Below are 25,396 nucleotides of genomic sequence, written 5' to 3'. Positions count from 1 at the left end.
AATTTATAGCACTAAATGCCCACAAGAGAAAGCAGGAAAGATCTAAAATTGACAACCTAACATCACAAATAAAAGAACTAGAGAAGCGGGGGGAGGAGCCAAGATGGCCGAATAGGAACAGCACAGGTCTACAGCTCCCAGCGTGCGCGATGCAGAAGATGGGTGATTTCTGCATTTCCATCTGAAGTACCGGGTTCATCTCACTAGGGAGTGCCAGACAGTAGGCGCAGGTCAGTGGGTGCGCGTGCGAGCCGAAGCAGGGTGAGGCATTGCCTCACTCGGGAAGCGAAGGGGGTCAGGGAGTTCCCTTTCCTAGTCAAAGAAAGGGGTGACAGACGGCACCTGGAAGATCGGGTCACTCCCACCTGAATACTGCGCTTTTCCGACGGGCTTAAAAAACGGGGCACCAGGAGATTGTGTCCCACACATGGTTCGGAGGGTCCTACGCCCACGAAGTCTCGCTGATTGCTAGCACAGCAGTCTGAGATCAAACTTCAAGGTGGCAGCGAGGCTCGGGGAGGGGCGCCCGCCATTGCCCAGGCTTGCTTAGGTAAACAAAGCAGCCTGGAAGCTCAAACTGGGTGGAGCCCACCACAGCTCAAGGAGGCCTGCCTGCCTCTGTAGGCTCCACCTCTGGGGGCAGGGCACACACAAACACAAAGACAGCAGTAACCTCTACAGACTTAAATGTCCCTGTCTGACAGCTTTGAAGAGAGCAGTGGTTCTCCCAGCACACAGCTGGAGATCTGAGAACGGGCAGACTGCCTCCTCAGGTGGGTCCCTGACCCCTGACCACCGAGCAGTCTAACTGGGAGGCACCCCCTAGCAGGGGCAGACTGACACCTCACACGCCCAGGTACTCCAAAAGAGCTGCAGCTGAGGGTCCTGTCTGTTGAAAGGAAAATTGACAAACGGAAAGGACATCCACACCAAAAACCTTCTGTACATCACCATCATCAAAGACCAGAAGTAGATAAAAACCACAAAGATGGGGAAAAAACAGAGCAGAAAAACTGGAAACTCTAAAAAGCAGAGCACCTCTCCTCCTCCAAAGGAATGCAGTTCCTCACCAGCAATGGAACAAAGCTGGACGGAGAATGACTTGGACGAGCTGAGAGAAGAAGGCTTCAGACGATCAAATTACTCCGAGCCAGGGGAGGACATTCAAGCCAAAGGCAAAGAAGTTGAAAACTTTGAAAAAAATTTAGAAGAATGTATAACTAGAATAACCAATACAGAGAAGTGCTTAAAGGAGCTGATGGAGCTGAAAACCAAGGCTGGACAACTACGTGAAGAATGCAGAAGCCTCAGGAGCTGATGCGGTCAACTGGAAGAAAGGGTATCAGCAATGGAAGATGAAATGAATGAAATGAAGCAAGAAGGGAAGTTTAGAGAAAAAAGAATAAAAAGAAATGAACAAAGCCTCCAAGAAATATGGGACTATGTGAAAAGACCAAATCTACATCTGATTGGTGTACCTGAAAGCGACGGGGAGAATGGAATCAAGTTGGAAAACACTCTGAAGGATATTATTCGGGAGAACTTCCCCAATCTAGCAAGGCAGTCCAACCTTCAGATTCAGGAAATACAGAGAATGCCACAAAGATACTCCTCGAGAAGAGCAACTCCAAGACACATAAAGGTCAGATTCACCAAAGTTGAAATGAAAGAAAAAATGTTAAGGGCAGCCAGAGAGAAATGTCGGGTTACCCTCAAAGGGAAGCCCATCAGACTAACAGCGGATCTCTCGGCAGAAACTCTACAAGCCAGAAGAGAGTGGGGGCCAATATTCAACATTCTTAAAGAAAAGAATTTTCAACCCAGAATTTCATATCCAGCCAAACTAAGCTTCATAAGTGAAGGAGAAATAAAATATTTTACAGACAAGCAAATGCTGAGAGATTTTGTCACCACCAGGCCTGCCCTAAAAGAGCTCCTGAAGGAAGCACTAAACTTGGAAAGAAACAACCGGTACCACCTGCTGCAAAATCATGCCAAAATGTAAAGACCATCAAGACTAGGAAGAAAATGCATCAACTAACGAGCAAAATAATCAGCTAACATCACAATGACAGGATCCAATGCACACATAACAATATTAACCTTAAATGTAAATGGACTAAATGCTCCAATTAAAAGACACAGACTGGCAAATTGGATAAAGAGTCAAGACCCATCAGTGTGCTGTATTCAGGAAACCCATCTCACATGCAGAGACACACATAGGCTCAAAATAAAGGGATGGAGGAAGATCTACCAAGCAAATGGAAAACAAAAAAAGACAGGGGTTGCAATCCTAGTCTCTGATAAAACAGACTTTAAACCAACAAAGATCGAAAGAGACAAAGAAGGCCATTACATAATGGTAAAGGGATCAATTCAACAAGAAGAGCTAACTATCCTAAATATATATGCACCCAATACAGGAGCAGCCAGATTCATAAAGCAAGTCCTTAGTGGCCTACAAAGTGACTTAGACTCCCACACAATAATAATGGGAGATTTTAACACCCCACTGTCAACATTAGACAGATCAATGAGACAGAAAGTCAACAAGGATACCCAGGAATTGAACTAAGCTCTGCACCAAGCAGACCTAATAGACATTTACAGAACTCTCCACCCCAACTCAACAGAATATACATTTTTTTCAGCACCACACCACACCTATTCCAAAATTGACCACATAATTGGAAGTAAAGCTCTCCTCAGCAAATGTAAAAGAACAGAAATTATAACAAACTATCTCTCAGACCACAGTGCAATCAAACTAGAAGTCAGGATTAAGAATCTCACTCAAAACTGCTCAACTACATGGAAACTGAACAACCTGCTCCTGAATGACTACTGGGTACATAACGAAATGACGGCAGAAATAAAGATGTTCTTTGAAACCAACGAGAACAAACACACACCATACCAGAATCTCTGGGACGCATTCAAAGCAGTGTGTAGAGGGAAATTTATAGCACTACATGCCCACAAGAGAAAGCAGGAAAGATCCAAAATTGACACCCTAACATCACAATTAAAAGAACTAGAAAAGCAAGAGCAAACACATTCAAAAGCTAGCAGAAGGTAAGAAATAACTAAAATCAGAGCAGAACTGAAGGAAATAGAGACACAAAAAACCCTTCAAAAAATTAATGAATACAGGAGCTGGGTTTTTGAAAGGATCAACAAAATTGATAGACCGCTACCAAGACTAATAAAGAAAAAAAGAGAGAAAAATCAAATAGACACAGTAAAAAATGATAAAGGGGATATCACCACCAATCCCACAGAAATACAAACTACCATCAGAGAATATTACAAACACCGCTACGCAAATAAACTAGAAAATCTAGAAGAAATGGATAAATTCATCGACACATACACCCTCCCAAGACTAAACCAGGAAGAAGTTGAATCTCTGAATAGACCAATAACAGGATCTGAAATTGTGGCAATAATTAATAGCTTACCAACAAAAAAGAGTCCAGGACCAGATGGATTCACAGCGGAATTCTACCAGAGGTACAAGGAGGAACTGGTACCATTCCTTCTGAAACTATTCCAATCAATAGAAAAACAGGGAATCCTCCCTAACTCATTTTATGAGGCCAGCATCATTCTGATACCAAAGCCAGACAGAGACACAACCAAAAAAGAGAATTTTAGACCAATATCCTTGATGAACATAGATGCAAAAATCCTCAATAAAATACTGGCAAACCAAATCCAGCAGCACATCAAACAGCTTATCCACCATGATCAAGTGGGCTTCATCCCTGGGATGCAAGGCTGGTTCAATATACGCAAATCAATAAATGTAATCCAGCATATACACAGAACCCAAGACAAAAAACACATGATTATCTCAATAGATGCAGAAAAGGCCTTTGACAAAATTCAACAACGCTTCATGCTAAAAACTCTCAATAAATTAGGTATTGATGGGATGTATTTCAAAATAATAAGAGCTATCTATGACAAACCCACAGCCAATATCATACTGAATGGGCAAAACCTCGGAGCATTCCCTTTGAAAACTGGCACAAGACAGGGATGCCCTCTCTCACCACTCCTATTCAATATAGTGTTGGAAGTTCTGGCCAGGGCAATCAGGCAGGAGAAGGAAACAAAGGGTATTCAATTAGGAAAAGAGGAACTCAAATTGTACCTGTTTGCAGACGACATGATTGTATATCTAGTAAACCCCATTGTGTGAGCCCAAAATCTCCTTAAGCTGATAAGCAACTTCAGCAAAGTCTCGGGATACAAAATCAATGTACAAAAATCACAAGCATTCTTACACACCAACAACAGACAGAGAGCCAAATCATGAGTGAACTCCATTCACAATTGCTTCAAAGAGAATAAAATACCTAGGAATCCAACTTACAAGGGATGTGAAGGACCTCTTCAAGGATAACTACAAACCACTGCTCAAGGAAATAAAAGAGGACACAAACAAATGGAAGAACATTCCATGCTCATGGGTAGGAAGAATCAATATCGTGAAAATGGCCATACTGCCCAAGGTAATTTACAGATTCAATGCCATCCCCATCAAGCTACCAATGCCTTTCTTCACAGAATTGGAAAAAAACTACTTTAAAGTTCATATGGAACCAAAAAAGAGCCCGCATCGCCAAGTCAATCCTAAGCCAAAAGAACAAAGCTGGAGGCATCACACTACCTGACTTCAAACTATACTACAAGGCTACAGTAACCAAAACAGCATGGTACTGGTACCAAAACAGAGATATAGATCAATGGAACAGAACAGAGCCCTCAGAAATAATGCCGCATATCTACAACTATCTGGTCTTTGACAAACCTGACGAAAACAAGCAATGGGGAAAGGATTCCCTATTTAATAAATGGTGCTGGGAAAACTGGCAAGCCAGATGTAGAAAGCTGAAACTGGATCCCTTCCTTACACCTTATACAAAAATCAATTCAAGATGGATTAAAGACTTAAACGTTCGACCTAAAACCATAAAAACCCTAGAAGAAAACCTAGGCATTATCATTCAGGACATAGGCATGGGCAAGGACTTCAGGTCTAAAACACCAAAAGCAATGGCAACAAAAGCCAAAATTGACAAATGGGATCTAGTTAAACTAAAGTGCTTCTGCACAGCAAAAGAAACTACCATCAGAGTGAACAGGCAACCTACAAAATGGGAGAAAGTTTTCGCAACCTACTCATCTGACAAAGGGCTAATATCCAGAATCTACAAAGAACTCAAACCAATTTGCAAGAAAAAAACAAACAACCCCATCAATAAGTGGGCGAAGGATATGAACAGATATTTCTCAAAAGAAGACATTTATGCAGCCAACAGACACATGAAAAAATGCTCATCATCACTGGTCATCAGAGAAATGCAAATCAAAACCACAATGAGATACCATGTCACACCAGTTAGAATGGCAATCATTAAAAATTCAGGAAACAAAAGGTGCTGGGGAGGATGTGGAGAAATAGGAGCACTTTTACACTGTTGGTGGGACTGTAAAGTAGTTCAATCATTTTGGAAGTCGGTGTGGCGATTCCTCAAGGATCTAGAACTAGAAATACCATTTGACCCAGCCATCCCATTACTGGGTATATACCCAAAGGATTATAAATCATGCTGCTATAAAGGCACATGCACACATATGTTTACTGCGGCACTATTCACAATAGCGAAGACTTGGAACCAACCCATATGTCCAATAATGATAGACTGGATTAAGAAAATGTGACACATATACACCATATTATACTATGCAGCCATAAAAAAGGATGAGTTCATGTCCTTTGTGGGGACATGGATGAAGCTGGAAACCATCATTGTGAGCAAACTATCGCAAGGACAGAAAACCAAACACTACATGTTCTCACTCACAGGTGGGAATTAAACAGTGAGAACACTTGGACACAGGAAGGGGAACATCACACACCAGGGCTTGTCGTGGGGTGCGGGGAGGGGGGATGGATAGCATTAGGAGATATACCTAATGTAAATGATGAGTTAATGGGTGTAGCATGCCAACATGTCACATGTATACATATGTAACAAACGTGCATGTTGTGCACATGTACCCTAGAACTTAAAGTATAATAATAATAAAAAAATAAAATAAAGTAAAATAAAAAAGAAGGAAGGTTATAGCACTAAATGCCCACGTCAAAAATTTAGAAAGATCTCAAATTAACAACCTAACATCACAACTAGAGGCCCTAGATAAACAAGAGCAAACCAATATCAAAGCTAGCAGAAAACAAGAAATAACCAAAATCATACCTAAACTGAAGGAAATTGAGGTGTTTAAAGCCATACAAAATATCAATGAATCCAGGAGCTTGTTATTTGAAAGAATCAATGCAGTAGATAGACTGCTAGCCAGACTAATAATAAAACAGAGATGATCCAAATAAACATAATCAGAAATGAAAAAGAGAACATTATCTGACCCCACAAATATACAAAAAACACAGAGAGACTGTTATGAACACCTCTATGCACAGAAGTAGAAAATCTAAAAGAAATAGATATATTCCTGTACACATAAGCCTCCCAAGATTTAACCAGGAATTAAAACCCTGAACTGACCAATAATGAGTCTTGATATTGAGTCAATAATAAAAACCCTATAAACCAGAAACAGCCTAAGACAAGTAGAATTCACAGCTGAATTCTAGCAGATGTATAAAGAAGAGCTGGTACCATTTCAACTAAAACTATTCCAAAGAATTGAGGAAAAAGGAATCCTCCCTAACTCATTCTATGAAGCCAGTATCATCCTCATACCAATACTTGGCAGAAACACACCAAATAAAAGAAAACTTCAGACCAATATTCCTGATGAATATAAATGAAAAAATCCTCAAAGAATGACTAGCAAACTGAATCCAGCAGCACATCAAAATGCTAATCCACCATGATCAAGTACGCTTTATCCCCAGGATGTGGGGTTGGTTCAACATATGCAAATCCATAAATGGGATTCATCATATAAACAGAACTAAAAACAAACAAACAAACAAAACATGATCATCTCAATAGATGCAGAAAAGCCTTTTTGATAAAATTCAAAGTCCCTTCATGTTACAAACCCTCAACAAACTAGGCATTGAAGGAATATACTTCAAAATATTAAGAGCCATCTATGACTAACCCACTGGCAGCATCATACTGAATGAGCAAATGCTGGAAGAATTCTCTTTGAAAACCAGAACAAGACAAGAATGCCCTCTCTCACCACTCCTATTCAACATAGTACTGGAAGTCCTAACCAGAGCAATCAGGCAAGAGAAAAAAATAAAAGGCATTCAAATAGGAAGAGAGGAATTCAAACTATCCCTGTTTGCAGATGATATGTTACTATATCTAGAAAACCCCATAATCCCTCCCCAAAGGCTCTTTGATCTGATATACAACTTCAGCAAAGTTTCGTGATACAAAGTAAATGTACAAAAATCAGTAGCATTCCTATACACCAACAACATCCAAGCTGAGAGCCAAATCAAGAATGCAATTCTATTCACAATAGCCACAAAAAGTATAAAATACCTCAGAATACAGCTAACCAAGGAGGTGAAAGACCTGTACAACAATAATTACAAAACACTGCTCAAGGAAAGAAGAGAGGATACAAATGGAAAAACATTCCACGCTCACAGATAAGAAGCATCAATACTGACAAAATGGCCATACTACCCAAAGCAATTTACAGATTCAAAGCTATTACTATCAAACTACCAATAACATGCATTACAGAATTAGAAAAAAACTATTTTAAAATTAATATGGAAGCAAAAAAGAGCCTTAATAGTCAATCCTAAACAAAAAGAACAAAGCTGGAAGAACCACATTACCCAATTTCAAACTATACTACAAGGTACGGTAACCAAAACAACATGGCACTGGTAATAAAACAGACACGTACACCAATGAAGCAGAATAGAAAGCCCAGAAATAATGCTGCACACCTACACCAATCTGATTTTTGACAAAATCAGCAAAAACAAGCAATAGGGAAAGGACTCCCTATTCAATACATGGTGCTAAGATAACTGGCTAGCATACGCAGAAGACTGAAACTGAACCCCTTTCTTAAACCATATACAAAAAAAGATGGATTGAAGACATAAATTTAAAACCCAAAACTATAAAAACCCTGGAAGACAATCTAGGCAATACCATTCAGGACATAGGCATGGGCAAAGACTTCATGATGAAGATGTCAAAGGCAATTGTGACAAAAGCAAAAACTGACAAATGGGATTGAAGTAAACTAAAGAGCTTCTGCACACCAAAAGAAACTATCAACAGAGTAAGCAGACAACGTATAGTATGGTAAAAAAATTTTGCAAACTGCATCCAACAAAGGTCTAATATCCAGAATCTATAAGAAATGTAAACAAATTAACAAGCAAAAAAAAAAAAAAAAAAAAAAAAACAAAAAAAAAAAAACAGAGAAAAGGGGGAAGATGGAAGACAGGAAGCAGGACTAGCTTGCAGCTCCAGCTCACATGGACAGAGCAGAGTGTGGAGACTCATATCATGAACTTTTGCTCCAGAAATACTGCAGGAATATGTCAGAAAAGCGGAGAGAATCTACAGACCCTCTGAAAGAAGTACATCGCTGCTGCAGGATCTGGGAGAAAGCCCAAATACTGTGAGAGCCCAAGCTGTGAGAGTGGGAAAGAGGGATCGTCTACCCTCAAATACACACCTTCACTGGGGAACCTGAAGGTCTAGATCATGGGAGAATGACTTGAGCTTACCTGGAGCTGAGTCAATTTAGAGAGCTGAGCAAAACACAGGGGTAGTAGAAGAAGCAGTGGGAAAAGCCCTGTGCGCTATCTGGGTCCCCAGGGAAGCCATTTCTGACTTGTCTCACAGAGGTTCTTGGGGAGGGCTGACAGAGGAACTGGGAAAAGACCACAGGGAGAAGGAAACCTCCAACTGAACTTTGTAAGAATTCCAACTGAATGCAAAGTCTCCTGGCCAGAACTCGGGGAAGGGCATGATTCTGGTGTGCAGATTCAACAGGTGGGGAGGCAACAAAGTGAGAGGTGACAGCGTGCTGGCAGTCCTCACAGCCCTTGCTCACTCTTGGCACCTCCTCTGCCTGGGCTCCCAGTTTGGCGGCATTTGAGGAGCCCTTCAGCCCACCACTGCACTGTGGGAGCCCCTTTCTAGGCTGGCCAAGGCTGGAGCCCACTCCCTCAGCTTGCAGGGAGGTGTGGAGGGAGAGGCGGGAGCGGGAACCGGGGCTGCATGCGGCGCTTGCGGGCCAGCTGGAGTTCCGGGTAGGTGTGGGCTTGGCGGGCCCCGCGCTCGGAGCAGCCAGCCAGCCCTGCCAGCCCCGGGCAATGAGGGACTTAGCACCCGGGCCAGTGGCTGCAGAAGGTGTACTGGGTCCCCCAGCAGTGCCAGCCCACCAGCGCTGCGCTCAATTTCTCACCGAGCCTTAGCTGCCTTCCCGTGGGGCAGGGCTCAGGACCTGCAGTCTGCCATGCCTAAGCCTCCCACCCACTCCATGGGCTCCTGTGCGGCCCGAGCCTCCCCGACGAGCACCACCCCCTGCTCCATGGCACCCAGTCCCATCGACCACCCAAGGAAGGGCTGAGGAGTGCGAGCGCATGGCGCGAGACTGGCAGGCAGCTCCTGCAGCCCTGGTGTAGGATCCACTAGGTGAAGCCAGCTAGGCTCCTGAGTCTGGTGGGGACGTGGAGAGTCTTTATATCTAGCTCAAGGATTGTAAACACACCAATCAGCACCCTGTGTCTAGCTCAAGGTTTGTGAGTGCACCAATTGACACTCTGTATCTAGCTGCTCTGGTAAGGATGTGGAGAGTCTTTATGTACAGCTCAGGGATTGTAAATACACCAATCAGCACCCTGTGTTTAGCTCAAGGTTTGTGAGTGCACCAATCGACACTCTGTGTCTAGCTGCTCTGGTGGGGCCTTGGAAAACCTTTATGTCTAGCTCAAGGTTTGTAAACACACCAATCAGCACCCTGTGTTTAGCTCAAGGTTTATGAATGCACCAATCGACACTCTGGTGTCTAGCTGCTCTAGTAGGGCCTTAGAGAACCTGTGTGTCGAAACTCTGTATCTAACTAATCTGAAAAGGATGTGGAGAACCTTTTTATCTAGCTCAGGGATTGTAAACGCACCAATCAGCGCCCTGTCAAAACAGGCCACTTGGCTCTACCAATCAGCAGGATGTAGGTGAGGCCAGATAAGAGAATAAAAGCAGGCTGCGCTAGCCAGCAGTGGCAACCCACTCAGGTCCCCTTCCACACTGTGGAAGCTTTGTTCTTTCACTCTTTACAATAAATCTTGCTACTGCTCACTCTTTAGGTCCACGCTGCTTTTATGAGCTGTAACACTCACCGCAAAGATCTGCAGCTTCACTCCTGAGCCCAGAGAGACCACGAGCCCACCGGGAGGAACAAACAACTCCAAATGCGCTGCCTTAAGAGCTGTAACACTCACCATGAAGGTCTGCAGCTTCACTCCTGAGCCAGTGAGACCACGAACCCACCAGAAAGAAGAAACTCCGAACACATCTGAACATCAAAAAGGACAGACTCCAGACTCACCATCTTAAGAGCTGTAACACTCACCGTGAGGGTCCGCGGCTTCATTCTTGAAGTCAGTGAGACCAAGAACCCACCAATTCCGGACACATTTTGGTGACCACGAAGGGACTTTCGCCTATCGCCAAGCGGTGAGACAATTGCCAAGCGGTGAGACCATCGCCTATCGCTGAGCGGTGAGACTTTCGCCTATCGCCAAGCAGTGAGTACCATCGGACCCCTTTCACTTGCTATTCTGTCCTATCTTTCCTTAGAATTCGGGGGCTAAAAACTGGGCACCTGTCGGCCAGTTAAAAGCGACTAGCGCAGCCGCCGGACTAAAGACACGGGTGTCAGGCTTTCTGGGAAAGGGCTAACAACCCCCGACTCTTCGGAGTTGGGACCGTTGGTTTGCCTAGAACCAGCTTCCGCTTTTCCTGTACTTCTGGGCTGAGCCGAGGGTCAACAGAGAGGAAAGCCATGCAGCTCCGGGGTCCCGACAACATGTTGGTTGACCCTGCGGCCATGAGTGGAACTCTCACAAGCATGTCGCCCAAGCGAGACTCGCCCATCTATCCTATCTATCCTGACCTTTGCCCTCTGGGTCCTAATGCCTGCCAGAGAAACTTCCTCTCACCTCTCTTCTCTGAGGTTAGACCCACCTCTAAAAATTGCTACCTGTCTCTAGTGCTTTTCTAGTTTCTCCTATAAGAATGACTTCTAGTATAAACTCCAGGACTCTGTTACCTTCTTTAGGCACCTGGGCTCACCAATCGGAAAGACATAATTTTTGCCCAAAGCCCCGTTGTAGTGGGGACTACCTGGAATTTTAGGATCCCTCCTCAGACTAACAGGCCTAACAAAAGCTATTCCTGCAGCTAGGATATGGGGAGCCTCAGAAATTGTATCCTTCCTATTTATATAAGTGAGGACAAAAGGTGTCACTCCTCCAGCCCTAGAGATCCTTTCCCTCCCTCAGGGTATGGCCCTCCACTTCATTTTTAGGGCATAACATCTTTATAGGACAGGGGTAAAGTCCCAATACTAACAGGAGAATGCTTAGGACTCTAACAGGTTTTTGAGAATGCGTCGGTAAGGGCCACTAAATCCGATTTTTCTCGGTCGGTCCTCCTTGTGGTCTAGGAGGACAGGCAAGGGTGCAGGTTTTCAAGAATGCGTCGGTAAGGACCACTAAATCCGACCTTCCTCGGTCCTCCATGTGGTCTGGGAGGAAAACTAGCGTTTCTGCTGCTGCGTCGGTAAGTGCAACTATTCCGATCAGCAGGGTCCAGGGACCATTGCGGGTTCTTGGGCAGGGGTTGTTTCTGCTGCTGCGTCAGTGAGCGCAACTATTCCGATCAGCAGGGTCCAGGGACCATTGCGGGTTCTTGGGCAGGGGTTGTTTCTGCTGCTGTGTCGGTGAGCGCAACTATTCTGATCAGCAGGGTCCAGGGACCATTGCAGGTTCTTGGGCAGGGAGAGAAACAAAATAAACCAAAACCATGGGCGGTTTTGTCTTTCAGATGGGAAACACTCAGGCATCAACAGGCTCACCCTTGAAATGCATCCTAAGCCATTAGGACCAATTTGACCCACAAACCCTGAAAAAGAGGTGGCTCACTTTTTTCTGCACTACGGCTTGGCACCAATATTCTCTTTCTGATGGGGAAAAATGGCCACCTGAGAGAAGTACAAATTTCAATACTATCCTGCAGTTTGATCTTTTCTGTAGGAGGGAAGGCAAATGGAGTGAAATACCTTATGTCCAAGCTTTCTTTTCACTGAGGGAGAATACACGACTATGCAAAGCTTGCAATTTACATCCCACAGGAGGACCCCTCAGCTTACCCCCATATCCTAGCCTCCTTATAGCTCCCCTTCCTGTTGATGATACTCCTCCTCTAATCTCCCCTGCCCAAAAGGAAATAAGCAAAGAAATCTCCAAAGGTCCACAAAAAACCCCAGGCTATCGGTTATGTCCCCTTCAAGCTGTAGGGGGAGGGGAATTTGGCCCAACCCAGGTACATGTCCCCTTCTCCCTCTCTGATTTAAAGTAGATCAAGGCAGACCTGGGGAAGTTTTCAGATGATCCTGATAGGTACATAGATGTCCTACAGGGTCTAGGGCAAACCTTTGACCTCACTTGGAGAGACGTCATGCTACTGTTAGATCAAACCCTGGCCTTTAATTAAAAGAATGCGGCTTTAGCTGCAGCCCGAGAGTTTGGAGATACCTGGTATCTCAGTCAAGTAAATGATAGAATGACAGCTGAAGAAAGGGACAAATTCCCTACTGGTCAGCAAGCAATCCCCAGTATGGACCCCCACTAGGACCTTTACTCAGATCATGGGGACTGGAGTTGTAAACATCTGTTGACCTGTGTTCTAGAAGGACTAAGGAGAATTAGGAAAAAGCCCATAAATTATTCAATGATATCCACCATAACCCAGGGAAAGGAATAAAATCCTTCTGCCTTCCTCGAGCGGCTACGAGAGGCCTTAAGAAAATATACTCCCCTATCACCCGAATCACTCGAGGGTCAATTGATTCTAAAAGATAAGTTTATCACCCAATCAGCCGCAGATATCAGGAGAAAGCTCCAAAAGCAAGCCCTGGGCCCTGAACAAAATCTAGAGGCATTATTAAACGTGGCAAACTCAGTGTTCTATAATAGGGACCAAGAAGAACAGGCCCAAAAGGAAAAGCGAGATCAGAGAAAGGCCGCAGCCTTAGTCATGGCCCTCAGACAAACGGTTGAGAGAGGTCAGAAAATGGAGCAGGCCAACCACCTGGTAGGGCTTGTTATCAGTGTGGTTTACTAGGACACTTTAAAAAAGATTGTCCAATGAGAAACAAGCTGCCCCCTCATCCATGTCCACTATGCCAAGGCAATCACTGGAAGGTGCACTGCCCCAGAGGACGAAGGTTCCCTGGGTCAGAAGCCCCCAACCAGATGATCCAACAACAGGACTGAGGGTGCCCGGGGCAAGCGCCAGCTCATGTCATCACCCTCACTGAGCCCCAGGTATGTTTAACTATTGAGGGCCAGGAAATTGACTTCCTCCTGGACACTGGTGCGGCCTTCTCAGTGTTAATCTCCTGTCCTAGACAACTGTCCTCAAGATCCGTTACCATCCGAGGAATCCTAGGACAGCCTGTAATCAGGTATTTCTCCCACCTCATCAGTTGTAATTGGGAGACTTTGCTCTTTTCACATGCCTTTTTTGTTATGCCTGAAAGTCCCACACTATTATTAGGGAGGGATATATTAGCCAAGGCTGGAGCTATTATCTACATGAATATGAGGAACAAGTTACCCATTTGTTGTCCCCTACTTGAGGAAGGAATCAACACTGAAGTCTGGGCATTAGGAGGACAATTTGAAAGGGCAAAAAAATGCCTGCACAGTCACGCAATGCAAAAACACAAAGAGGTAGGAATCGTACACTGACAAAGCCATAAAAATGGGAAGGAGAGGGGAGAGCAGCAGCATAAGTGGCTGGCAGAAGTAAGGAAAGACCAGAAAGAAGGAAAGAGAGAAAAACATCAGAGAACGAGAGAGAGAAAGAAACAGAGACAAGGAGAAGGAGTCAGAGAGAAAGAGGGACAGACACAGAAAGTCAAAGAGAGAGTTAAAAAGAGAGAAAGAGACAAAAAAGAAGTCGAAGAGAGAAAGAGATGAAAGTAGTAAAGAAAAAACAGTGTACCCTATTCCTTTAAAAGCCAAGGTAAATTTCTATCTACACAGCCAAGGCATATTCTACTTATGTGGATCTTCAACCCATATCTGCCTCTCAGACAGTTTGCAAGAAATAACAAAATCTATTCTTCCTTTACAATCCCAAACAGACTCTTTGGCAGCAGTGACTCTCCAAAACCACTGAGGCCTAGACCTCCTCACTGCTGAAAAAGGAGGACGCTACACCTTCTTAGGGGAAGAGTGTTGTTTTTACACTAACCAGTAAGGGATAGTATGAGATGCCGCCTGGGGTTTACAGGAAAAGGCTTCTGAAATCAGACAACGCCTTTCAAATTCTTATACCAATCTCTAGAGTTAGGCAACATGGCTTCTCCCCTTTCTAGGTCCCGTGTCAGCCATCTTGCTGTTACTCACCTTTAGGCCCTGTATGTTTAACCTTCTTGTCAAATTTGTTTCCTCTAGAATCGAGGCCATCAAGCTACAGATGGTCTTACAAATGGAACCCCAAATGAGTTCAACTAACAACTTCTACTGGGGACCCCTGGACCGACCCACTGGCACTTCCCCTGGCCTAGAGAGTTCTCCTCTGAAGGACACTACAACTGCAGGGCCCCTTCTTTGCCCCTACCCAGCAGGAGGTAGCTAGAGCGGTCATTGGCCAAATTCCCAACAGCAGTTGGGGTGTCCTGTTTAGAGGGGGGATTGAGAGGTGACAGTGTGCTGGCAGTCCTCACAGCCCTCACTCGCTCTTGGCACTTCCTCTGCCCGGGCTCCCAGTTTGGCGGCATTTGAGGAGCCCTTCAGCCCACCACTGCACTGTGGGAGCCCCTTTCTAGGCTGGCCAAGGCTGGAGCCCACTCCCTCAGCTTGCAGGGAGGTGTGGAGGGAGAGGCGGGAGCGGGAACCGGGGCTGCATGCGGCGCTTGTGGGCCAGCTGGAGTTCCGGGTAGGCGTGGGCTTGGCGGGCCCCGCACTCGGAGCAGCCGGCCAGCCCTGCCAGCCCCGGGCAATGAGGGACTTAGCACCCGGGCCAGTGGCTGCAGAAGGTGTACTGGGTCCCCCAGGAGTGCCAGCCCACCAGCGCTGCGCTCAATTTCTCACCGAGCCTTAGCTGCCTTCCCGCGGGGCAGGGCTCAGGACCTGCAGTCTGCCATGCCTAAGCCTCCCACCCACTCCATGGGCTCCTGTGTGGCCCGAGCCTCCCCGACGAGCACTTCCCCCTGCTCCATGGCACCCAGTCCCATCGACCACCCAAGGGCTGAGGAGTGTGAGCGCACGGTGCGAGACTGGCAGGCAGCTCCACCTGCAGCCCCGGTGTAGGATCCACTAGGTGAAGCCAGCTAGGCTCCTGAGTCTGGTGGGGACGTGGAGAGTCTTTATATCTAGCTCAAGGATTGTAAACACACCAATCAGCACCCTGTGTCTAGCTCAAGGTTTGTGAGTGTACCAATCGACACTCTGTATCTAGCTGCTCTGGTGGGGCCTTGGAGAACCTTTATGTCTAGCTCAAGGATTGTAAATACACCAATTGACACTCTGTATCTAGCTGCTCTGGTGGGGCCTTGGAAAACCTTTATGTCTAGCTCAAGGATTGTAAATACACCAATCAGCACTCTATATCTAGCTCAAGGTTTGTAAACACACCAATCAGCACCCTGTGTTTAGCTCAATGTTTGTGAATGCACCAATCGACACTCTGTGTCTAGCTGCTCTAGTAGGGCCTTAGAGAACCTGTGTGTCGAAACTCTGTATCTAACTAATCTGATAAGGACATGGAAAACCTTTGTATCTAGCTCAGAGATTGTAAACACCCCAATCAGCGCCCTGTCAAAACAGGCCACTCGGCTCTACCAATCAGCAGGATGTAGGTGAGGCCAGATGAGAGAATAAAAGCAGGCTGCCCGAGCCAGCAGTGCAACCCGCTCAGGTCCCCTTCCACACTGTGGAAGATTTGTTCTTTCGCTCTTTACAATAAATCTTGCTACTGCTCACTCTTTAGGTCCACGCTGCTTTTATGAGCTGTAACACTCACTGCGAAAATCTGCAGCTTCACTCCTGAGCCCAGCGAGACCACGAGCCCACCGGGAGGAAAAAACAACTCCAAACGCGCTGCCTTAAGAGCTGTTACACTCACCGCGAAAGTCTGCAGCTTCACTCCTAAGCCAGCGAGACCACGAACCCACCAGAAAGAAGAAACTCCGAACACATCTAAACATCAAAAAGGACAGACTCCAGAGGCACCACCTTAAGAGCTGTAACACTCACCGCAAGGGTCCGTGGCTTCATTCTTGAAGTCAGTGAGACCAAGAACCCACCAATTCCGGACACAAAAGCACTGCTTGCTTTCTCAGCTGGGAGGCTGGTAGCCTGGGCAAGTTCTCAGCCCTGCTCACCCACTGCCTGGAAACAAACTTGGTGCTGTTGGGGAGAGCATGATGGGAGTCAGACCGACCTTTTGGGTTGTGTGGGAGCTGGGTGAGGCCTGTAACTGCCAGCTTTCCCCCACTTCCCTGATAACTTGGATGACACAACAGAGACAGCCATAATCCTCCTGGGAACATAACTCCATTGATTTGGGAACCACACCCCTATCCCCCACAGCAGCCTCAGCAAGCTCAGCCCAAAGAGAGTCTGAGCTCGTACATGCCTAACCCTGCCCCCACCTAATGGTCTTTCTCTACCCATCCTGGTAGCTGAAGACAAAGGGCATATTCTATAGAGAGTTCTAGAGCTCCACCGATCACCTGATCCTTCCTATACTACCATAGCTGATGCTCTCTTGAAAGCCTGCCATGTCCTGGCAGGAGGCCAACGAGCATAAAAATAGTGCATTAAACAACCAAAACTAAGGACTCTCACAGAGTCCATTTCACTCCCCTGTCACCTCCACCAGAGCAGGTGCTGGTATCCATGGCTGAGAGACCTGAAGACAGTTCACATCACAGGACTCTGTGCAGACAACCCCCAGTACCAACCTGGAGCCTGGGAGCCCTGCTGGGTGGCTAGAGCCAGAAAAGAAATAACAATCATTAGAGTTCGGCTCTCAGGAAGCCACATCCCTAGGAAAATGGGAAGAGTACTACCTCAAGAGAACACCCCATGGGACAAAAGAATCTGAAAAAGCAGCATTGAGACCCAGATCTTCCCTATGACATAGCCTACCCAAATGAGAAGAAACCAGAAAAACAATTCTGGTAACATAAAAAAAAAAAAACAACCTTCTTTAACACCCCCCAAAAATCACACTAGCTCACCAGCAATGGATCCAAACCAAAAAGAAATCCCGGATTTACCTGAAAAAGAATGCGGAAGGTCAAGTATTAACTTAATCAAGGAGGCACCAGAGAAAGGTAAAATCCAATTTAAGGAAATGAAAAAATGATACAAGATATGAGGGGAGAAATATTCAGTGAAATAGATAGCGTAAATAAAAAACAATCACAACTTCAAGAAATAAAGGACACATTTAGCAAAATGCAAAATGTACTGGAAAGTCTTAGCAATAGAATCGAACAAGCAAAAGAAAGAACCTCAGAGCTCGAAGACAAGGCTTTTGATTTAACCAAATCCAACAAAGACAAAGAAAAAATAATTTTAAAAAATGAACAAAGCCTCCAAGAAGGTTGGGATTATGTTAAATGACCAGACCCAAGAATAATTAGTGTTCCTGAGGAAGAAGAGAAATCTAAAAGTCTGAAAAACATATTTGGGGGAATAATTGAGGAAAACTTCCCTAGCCTTGCTGGAGACCTAGATGTTCAAATACAAAAAGCTCAAAGAACACCTGGGAAATTCACCACAAAAAGATCATTGTCTAGGTACATCATCATCAGGTTTTCTAAAGTCAAGACAAAGGAAAGAATCTTAAGAGCTCTGAGGCAAAAACACCAGGGAACCTATAAAGGAAAATCTATCAGAATAACGCAGATTTCTCAGCAGAAACCCTACAAGTTAGAAGGGATTGGGGTCCTATTGTTAACTTCCTTAAATAAATTATCAGCTAAGAATTTTGTATGCAGCAAAACTAAGCATCATAAATGAAGGAGAGATAGCCTTTTTCAGACAAACAAATACTGACAGAATTTGCCACTACCAAGCCAGCACTACAAGAAATACTAAAAGGAATCCTAGATATTGAAACAAAACCTTGAAATACACCAGAAGAGGACCTCCTTAAAGCATAAATCTCACAGGACCTATAAAACAATAACACAATAAAAAAAACAAGGTATTCAGGTAACAACTAGCATAATGAATGAAATAGTATCTCAAATCTCAATACTAATATTGAATGTAAATGGCCTAAATGCTCTACTTAAAAGATTACAGAATTGCAGAATGGGTAAGAATTAACCAACCAAGTATCTGCCATCTTCAAGAGACTCACCCAACACATAAGGACTCACATAAACTTAAGATAAAGGGGTGGAAAAAGATATTCCATGCAAATGGACACCAAAAGCGAGCTGGAGTAGCTATCCTTATATCAGACAAAAAGAACTTTGAAGCAAAAGCAGTTAAAAAAGACAGGCCAGGCGTGGTGGCTCACACCTGTAATCCCAGCAATTTGGGAGGCCAAGGCGGGTGGATCACTTGAGGTCAGGAGTTTGAGATCAGCCTGGCCAACATGGCAAAACCCTGTCTCTACTAAAAATGCAAAAATTAGCTGGGCGTGGTGGCGTGCACCTATAGTCCCAGCTACTAGGGAGGCTGAGGCAGGAGAATCGCTTGAACCCGGGAGGCGGAGGTTTTGCTGAGCCAAGATCGCACCACTGCGCTCCAGCCTGGGTGACAGATTGAGACTCCATCTCAAAAAAAAAAAAAAAAAAAGACACAGAGCGACATTATATAATGATAAAAGGCCTTGTCCAACAGGAAACTATCACAATCCTAAGAATATATGCACCTAACAGTGGAGCTCCCAAATTTATAAAACAATTACTACTAGACCTAAGAAATGAGATAGCAACATGATAATAGTGTGAAACTTCAATACTCCACTGACAGCACTAGACAGGTCATCAAGACAGAAAGTCAACAAAGAAACAATGGACTTAAACTATACTCTGGAACAAATGGACTTAACAGATACTTACAGAACATTCTATCTAACAACCACAGAGTATACATTCTATTCATCAGCACATGGAACTTTCTGCAAGATAGAACACATGATAGGCCACAAAACAAGTCTTAATAAATTTAAGAAAATCAAAATTATATCAGGTACTCTCTCAGCCACAGTGGAATAAAATTTGAAATCAACTCCAAAAGGAACCCTCAAAACCATGCCAATATATGGAAATTAAATAGCCTGCTCCTAAATGATCATTGAGTCAACAATGAAATCAAGATGGAAATTAAAATCAAAACCACAGTGCAATAACACTTTACTCCCACAAGAATGGCCATAATTAAAAAACCAAAAAAAATAATAGATGTTGGTGTGGATGCAGTGAAAAGGGAACACTTCTACACTGCTGGTGGGAATGTCAACTAATGGAAAACAGTGTGGAGATTCCTTAAAGAACTAAAAGTAGAACTACCATTTGATCCAGCAATCTTACTCCTAGGTATCTACCCAGAGGAAAAGAAGTCATTATCTGAAAAAGACATTTGCACATACATGTTTATAGCAGCAAAATTTACAATTGCAAAAATATGGAACCCACCCAGATGGCCATCAATCAACAAGTGAATAAAGAAACTGTAGTATATATACACTGTGGAATACTACTCAACCATAAAACGGAACGAATTAATGGCATTTGCAGCAACCTGGATGGGATTGGAGACTATTAGTCTAAGTGAAGTAACTCAGGAATGGAAAACCAAACATCATATGTTGTCACTCGTAAGTGGGAGCTAAGCTATAAGGATGCAAAGGCATAAGAATGATACAACAGACTTTGGAGATTCAGGGGAAAAGGGTGGGAAGGGGGTGAGGAATAAAAAGCTACAAAATGGGTTCAATGTATCCTGCTCAGGTGATGGGTAAACCAAAATATTACAAATCACCACTAAAGAACTTACTCACAGCCAGGCACAGTGGCTCATGCCCGTAATCCCAGCACTTTGGGAGGCCTAGGTGGGCAGATCACCTGGGGTCGGTAGTTCAAAACCAGCCTGACCAACATGGAGAAACCCAGTCTCCGCTAAAAATACAAAACTGGCCAGGCATGGTGGCGCATGCCTGTAATCCCAGCTATTCGGGAGGCTGAGGCAGGAGAATCACTTGAACCCGGGAGGCGGAGGTTGCGGTGAGCCGAGATCGTGCCACTGCACTCCAGCCTGGGCAACAAAGAGCGAAACTCCGTCTCAAAAAAAAGGAAAGAAAAAAAAGAACTTACTCATGTAACCAAATACCACCTGTTCCCCCAAAACCTACGGAAATTTTAAAAATGATAAAAAAGGACAAAATTTTTAAATAACCCCGCCCCCACCCAAAAAAAGAAAACAGAACATTTAATGATGGTTAATATCAAAATTATTTTGGGTCCAATAAGAGATGAGGTGTTCCATCTTTTTACAACCTTATTTTAAAAGCAAATAAAATATTCAGTTTATTTGTTTGTAAAACAAGTATTTGATACAAGTTTAATGGGGTGAATAAATCTCAAATATGTACAAATAAGTGGGGAAAGTACAGAGATGGACAGGTCAATGTAGGCATCAATTTACTACAGGTACTTCTCATTCTGAAAGTAAATCTGCAATTCATTTTAGAAAAAGTGCGATGGGAAAGGAACAGAACGGAGGTAAATGACAAAATATACTAGTAGCATACCTAATGAATCACAGATTTGTCTTATTTTCTCATCTGTCCATGATACTTGCTAATTATTTCATTTATTTCAGGGACAAGCTAAAAAACAGGCAGCAATGCCTGCAAGCTGACTGAGCCCGTAGCTTTGAATTGAGGGGGACAGTGGGAGGGCAACCTCTCACTGTATTTAATACATAAAACAGAAATCCAAAACACTTACCAATTTGTACTTGTTTGGGCTGGCTAAGGGAAACAAATGCTGATGTGTCACAGTCCAGGATATGTGAATGTTGCCTGCAATCACAAATTAAAAGTAAAGTGAACATTTGAAAAAAAAAAACAAAAAACAAGCAAAAACCAAAAAACCCTGTTAAAATGTGTGAAAAGGACCTGGACAGACACTTTTCAAAAGAAAATATACACGTGGCCAACAAGCATATGAGAAAATGCTCAACATTGCATAGTAATGTTTGGAAACTATTTTTGAAATTATAAGATTAAATGCATATGGAAAGTGAAACATAGCATTTAAAAACTACACAAAAATCAATTCACCAAGTCCTTCAATGATTTAATTCAAATATTGCTTGAACCCCCATTATGGGTCTAATATGATAGTTACTTAAAGATGATAAAGAGACATATATGATCCAGGCCCATGAATAATTTAAAGAGCAATTCTGAAGTCGTACAATTCATGCTTTACATACAACTTTAGGAGATCCGGTGTGGGGAAAGATTTTTGTAATACATACAACCAACAGGAAACTTATATCAGAATATATAAATGTGCTTGTATATAAAAAAGAACATGAAAATCAGCAGGAGGCTTGATCAAGCATTTCACAAAAGAGGATACCCCAATTACTGATACAAATTTTTTACAGTGCTAAATTTCATAGGGAAAGTGCAAATTACAAAAAGAAAATACAAATTGAAAATGTAGAGATACCACTGCACATTAGCAGAATACCAAAACTGAAAAGGATGTACAATATCAAGTATTGCTGAAGATACATGATTCAGAGATTCTACTCCCAAGTCTATTCACAAAAGAAATGCATGCACATGTACACCCAAGGGATGTATATAAGAATATTTATAGCAGCGTTATTCATGATGACCCCAAAATGGAAACAACCCAAATGTCCATGCAATGGAATATTCATGCAATGGAATACTACATGGTAATAAAAAATTATACAGCTATATGTCACAACGTGGATCACAAAGAGAAGATTAAATAAAAACACCAGATGTAGAAAATAACTATATGATTCCATTAAATAAAATTTAAAAGAAGGCAAGTGTAACCAAAGTAAGGATGTCTTTAGTTTTCTTTTGTGGAGAAGAGAAGATTTATTACTGGGGGCTCCTGGGAATTTGTTAATGCTCTGTTTCTTCACCTGGGTGGTAGCTGCTTGGATATGCTCAGATTTTAAAGAATTCATAGAATTGTTCATTTATCTTTTATACACTTTTATTTACATTATTCACAATAAAAATGTTAAAAAAAAAGAATTGGAAAGAAGGCTATTTGGTGAGTAGAGGATCTGAGCAGATGAATTTGAATGGTCTTAAGGATTGGGGGCATCAAGCTATTATATAGTCTCATGAACCCACCTTTGTTATGAAGTTAGCTCCATGGAGGAGGCTGTCGTAGTTTGTCCGACTTTCTCTTCTCCAGAAAGTGTTACAGACAACATGCTCAACACTATCCCTACTGAGTGGAAACTGACATTCCTATTTTTATCTGTTATTACAATATCATTCTTCTCAAATGCAATTTCTTTTCAGAATAGGTTGGTAATTGGTAAATAGGGAGGAGACAGGAGAAGTGTTTAAAATATGGAAAGAGGGTTGAAAAACAGGGTTTAAAAATCATGTTGATTTTAATTATCATATACAATGAGTACAAAAGAGGAATAAAATGATAACAAGCCCCTTACAGACAAAATTATTGTAAGACTAAACTAGAATGACCAACCATCCCATTTTGTCCGAGGATATTCTGGTATTGACAGTCCTGCATCATATTTAAATCCTAAACTTAAAATATCGTTGCTGATTATGTGCTAGGTTAATGATTTTCCCCCGATCTTGCTAATAATCTGAATGAGCTAGAGAATAAGTTATATTTCAGAAACTTTCCATGATATGTGAATTCTTCATCATTTTTATGTCAAATTTATTATTTAGTCAGGTGCAGTGGCTCACCCCTGTAATCCTAGCATTTTGGGAGGCTGAGGCAGGAGGATCATTTGCACTCAGGAGTTCAATAGCACCCTGGGCAACATAGTGAGACCTCATCTCTACTTTTTTAAAAAAGAAAAAATTTATTATCTTAAAAAACAGAAAACAATATTAAAAAATCATTAAACTTTTAAAAATTGACCAATCATCTGTTTCACCTTTCAATTTTTCTCCATATGAATGTGCTTTACCTAATTAATACTTTTTGTTAATTTAGCCTTTCTCTTTGGTATTATACTGCAGGCATTTAAACATGTCATTGACATGCCTATCAATCTTTTCTTGTGTTATTTCATCTGCTGCTTCAAACATTGGAGAATTGTAATCCCTGTGGATTCTTCTTAGTTTCAATTAAATAAAATGACTCTTCCAGTCCCCAATCTCTTATCCTTTCCTTGACCTTCGCTTTAAACATTCCTTGTTATACATAGACCCCAAAGGCAGATCTGACTTTTAATCCTGAAGCCCTTGTTTACCTTTTACATATAAAAGGATCAGATAAGGGGAAAAGATATTTCAATTTATAAGGGTTTATAAGTAAAGGTTAAACAAACTGGGCTTGTTGAGCTTTGAAACTGGATTAGCTTATTGATGTGGGGGAGAAGAATTGAGGAATTTTAAAGAAAAGACTTCAAGTAGATGAAAGAATAGATAGTATTGAGCAACTGTTCTCCACTTCTGTTGAGAATGAAAGGAAATGGACATACTAGGGGGAGAAGGATTTAGTCTTGGAAATATAGAAATTATACCCAGCTATTGGGATTAATATATTGGGAGACAAGACAGCCAAAAAAAAAAAAAGGATTAAGTTGATCTTGCCTTGGTTGCAAAGTTATATACTACACAATAACAATTAAAAAATTTGTATAGCATTTTGAAGTTTACAAAACAATTTATCATAATTACTTCATTTGAACCTCACAGCAACCTCGTGAAGGAGGTATTTTATTCACTTAGGGAGAGTATTATATTTACTTAAATCTACTTAAGGGTGAGGAAACTGAATTTGAATTGCCAAACATCCAAGAAGCTGGCAAGTAATACAACATGATTTTTTTTTAAAGTTTTATTAGCTATAATTCATATACTATATAATTCACCTATAAAGTGTATGATTCAATAGTTTTTAGTATATTCATGGAGTTTCGCAACCATCACCACAATCAACTTTAGAACATATTTTTATTGCTTCAAAAAGAAACCTCATATACATTAGCAGGTATTCCAATTCCCCAGCACTAGGCAATCACTAATCTAACATTCTATCTTTACAGATTTGTTATTCTGGCCATTTCATATAAATGGAATCATATATGGTATTTTTTGTTTTTTTCACTTAGCATAATGTTTGCAAGGTCCATCCATGTTGTAGCATGTATCAACACCTAATTCCTTTGTATGGCTCGATAATATTTCTGTCTTGGTCTGTTTGTAATGTTATTACAGAGTTTCTGATAAGGGGTAATTTATAAAGAACAGAGATTTATTTTTTACAGTTCTGGAGACTGGGAAGTCCAAGGTTGAAGGCTCTGCATCTGACAAGGGCCTTCTTTCTGCATCACCCTATGTTGGAAAGCAGAAGGTGAAAGGGCAAGAAAGCATGCGTGTGCATGTTAGAGATCAAACTCACAACCTCAAGCCCTTTATTTATTTATTTATTTATTTATTTAGAGATGGAGACTTGCTCTGTCACCCAGGCTGGAATGCAGTGGCATGATCTTGGCTCACAACAACTTCTGCCTCCTGAGTTCAAGCGATTCTCCTGCCTCAGCCTCTTGAGGAGCTGGGATTAAAGCATGTGCCACCACACCCAGCTAATTTTTGTATCTTTAGTAGAGATGGGGTTTCGCCATGTTGGCCAGGCTGGTCTTGAACTCCTGACCTCAAGTGATCCACTGGCCTAGACCTCCCAAAGTGCTGCGATTACAGGATTGAACCACTGCACCCAGCCCTCAAGTCCTTTAGTAATCAACATTAGTTCATTCATGAGAATGTAGCCCTCATGACCTAAATATCACTCATCAGGCCTCACCTAATAGGAATTAGGCTGAATTGGGGATTAAGTTTCCAAAACATGCTTTTCAGGGGACATACTTAAACCATAGCAATTT

General features: G+C 42.7%; 1 protein-coding gene across 1 annotated transcript in view; it reads right to left on the bottom strand.

The window, feature by feature from the left end:
- Positions 1–25,396, bottom strand: part of UPRT (uracil phosphoribosyltransferase homolog) — a 148,529-nt gene that overhangs the window by 115,766 nt on the left and 7,367 nt on the right. Inside the window, exon 3 of the mRNA NM_001363821.1 lies at positions 21,253–21,326. The gene's annotated coding sequence lies outside the window, so the exon portion shown is untranslated. The remainder of the gene's footprint in view (positions 1–21,252; positions 21,327–25,396) is intronic.

This window comes from Homo sapiens, chromosome X, assembly GCF_000001405.40.
Source record: "Homo sapiens chromosome X, GRCh38.p14 Primary Assembly".
Taxonomy (NCBI): domain Eukaryota; kingdom Metazoa; phylum Chordata; class Mammalia; order Primates; family Hominidae; genus Homo; species Homo sapiens.
The sequence above is the reverse complement of the archived record's forward strand: the minus strand, read 5'-3'. Positions and strand labels throughout refer to the sequence as shown.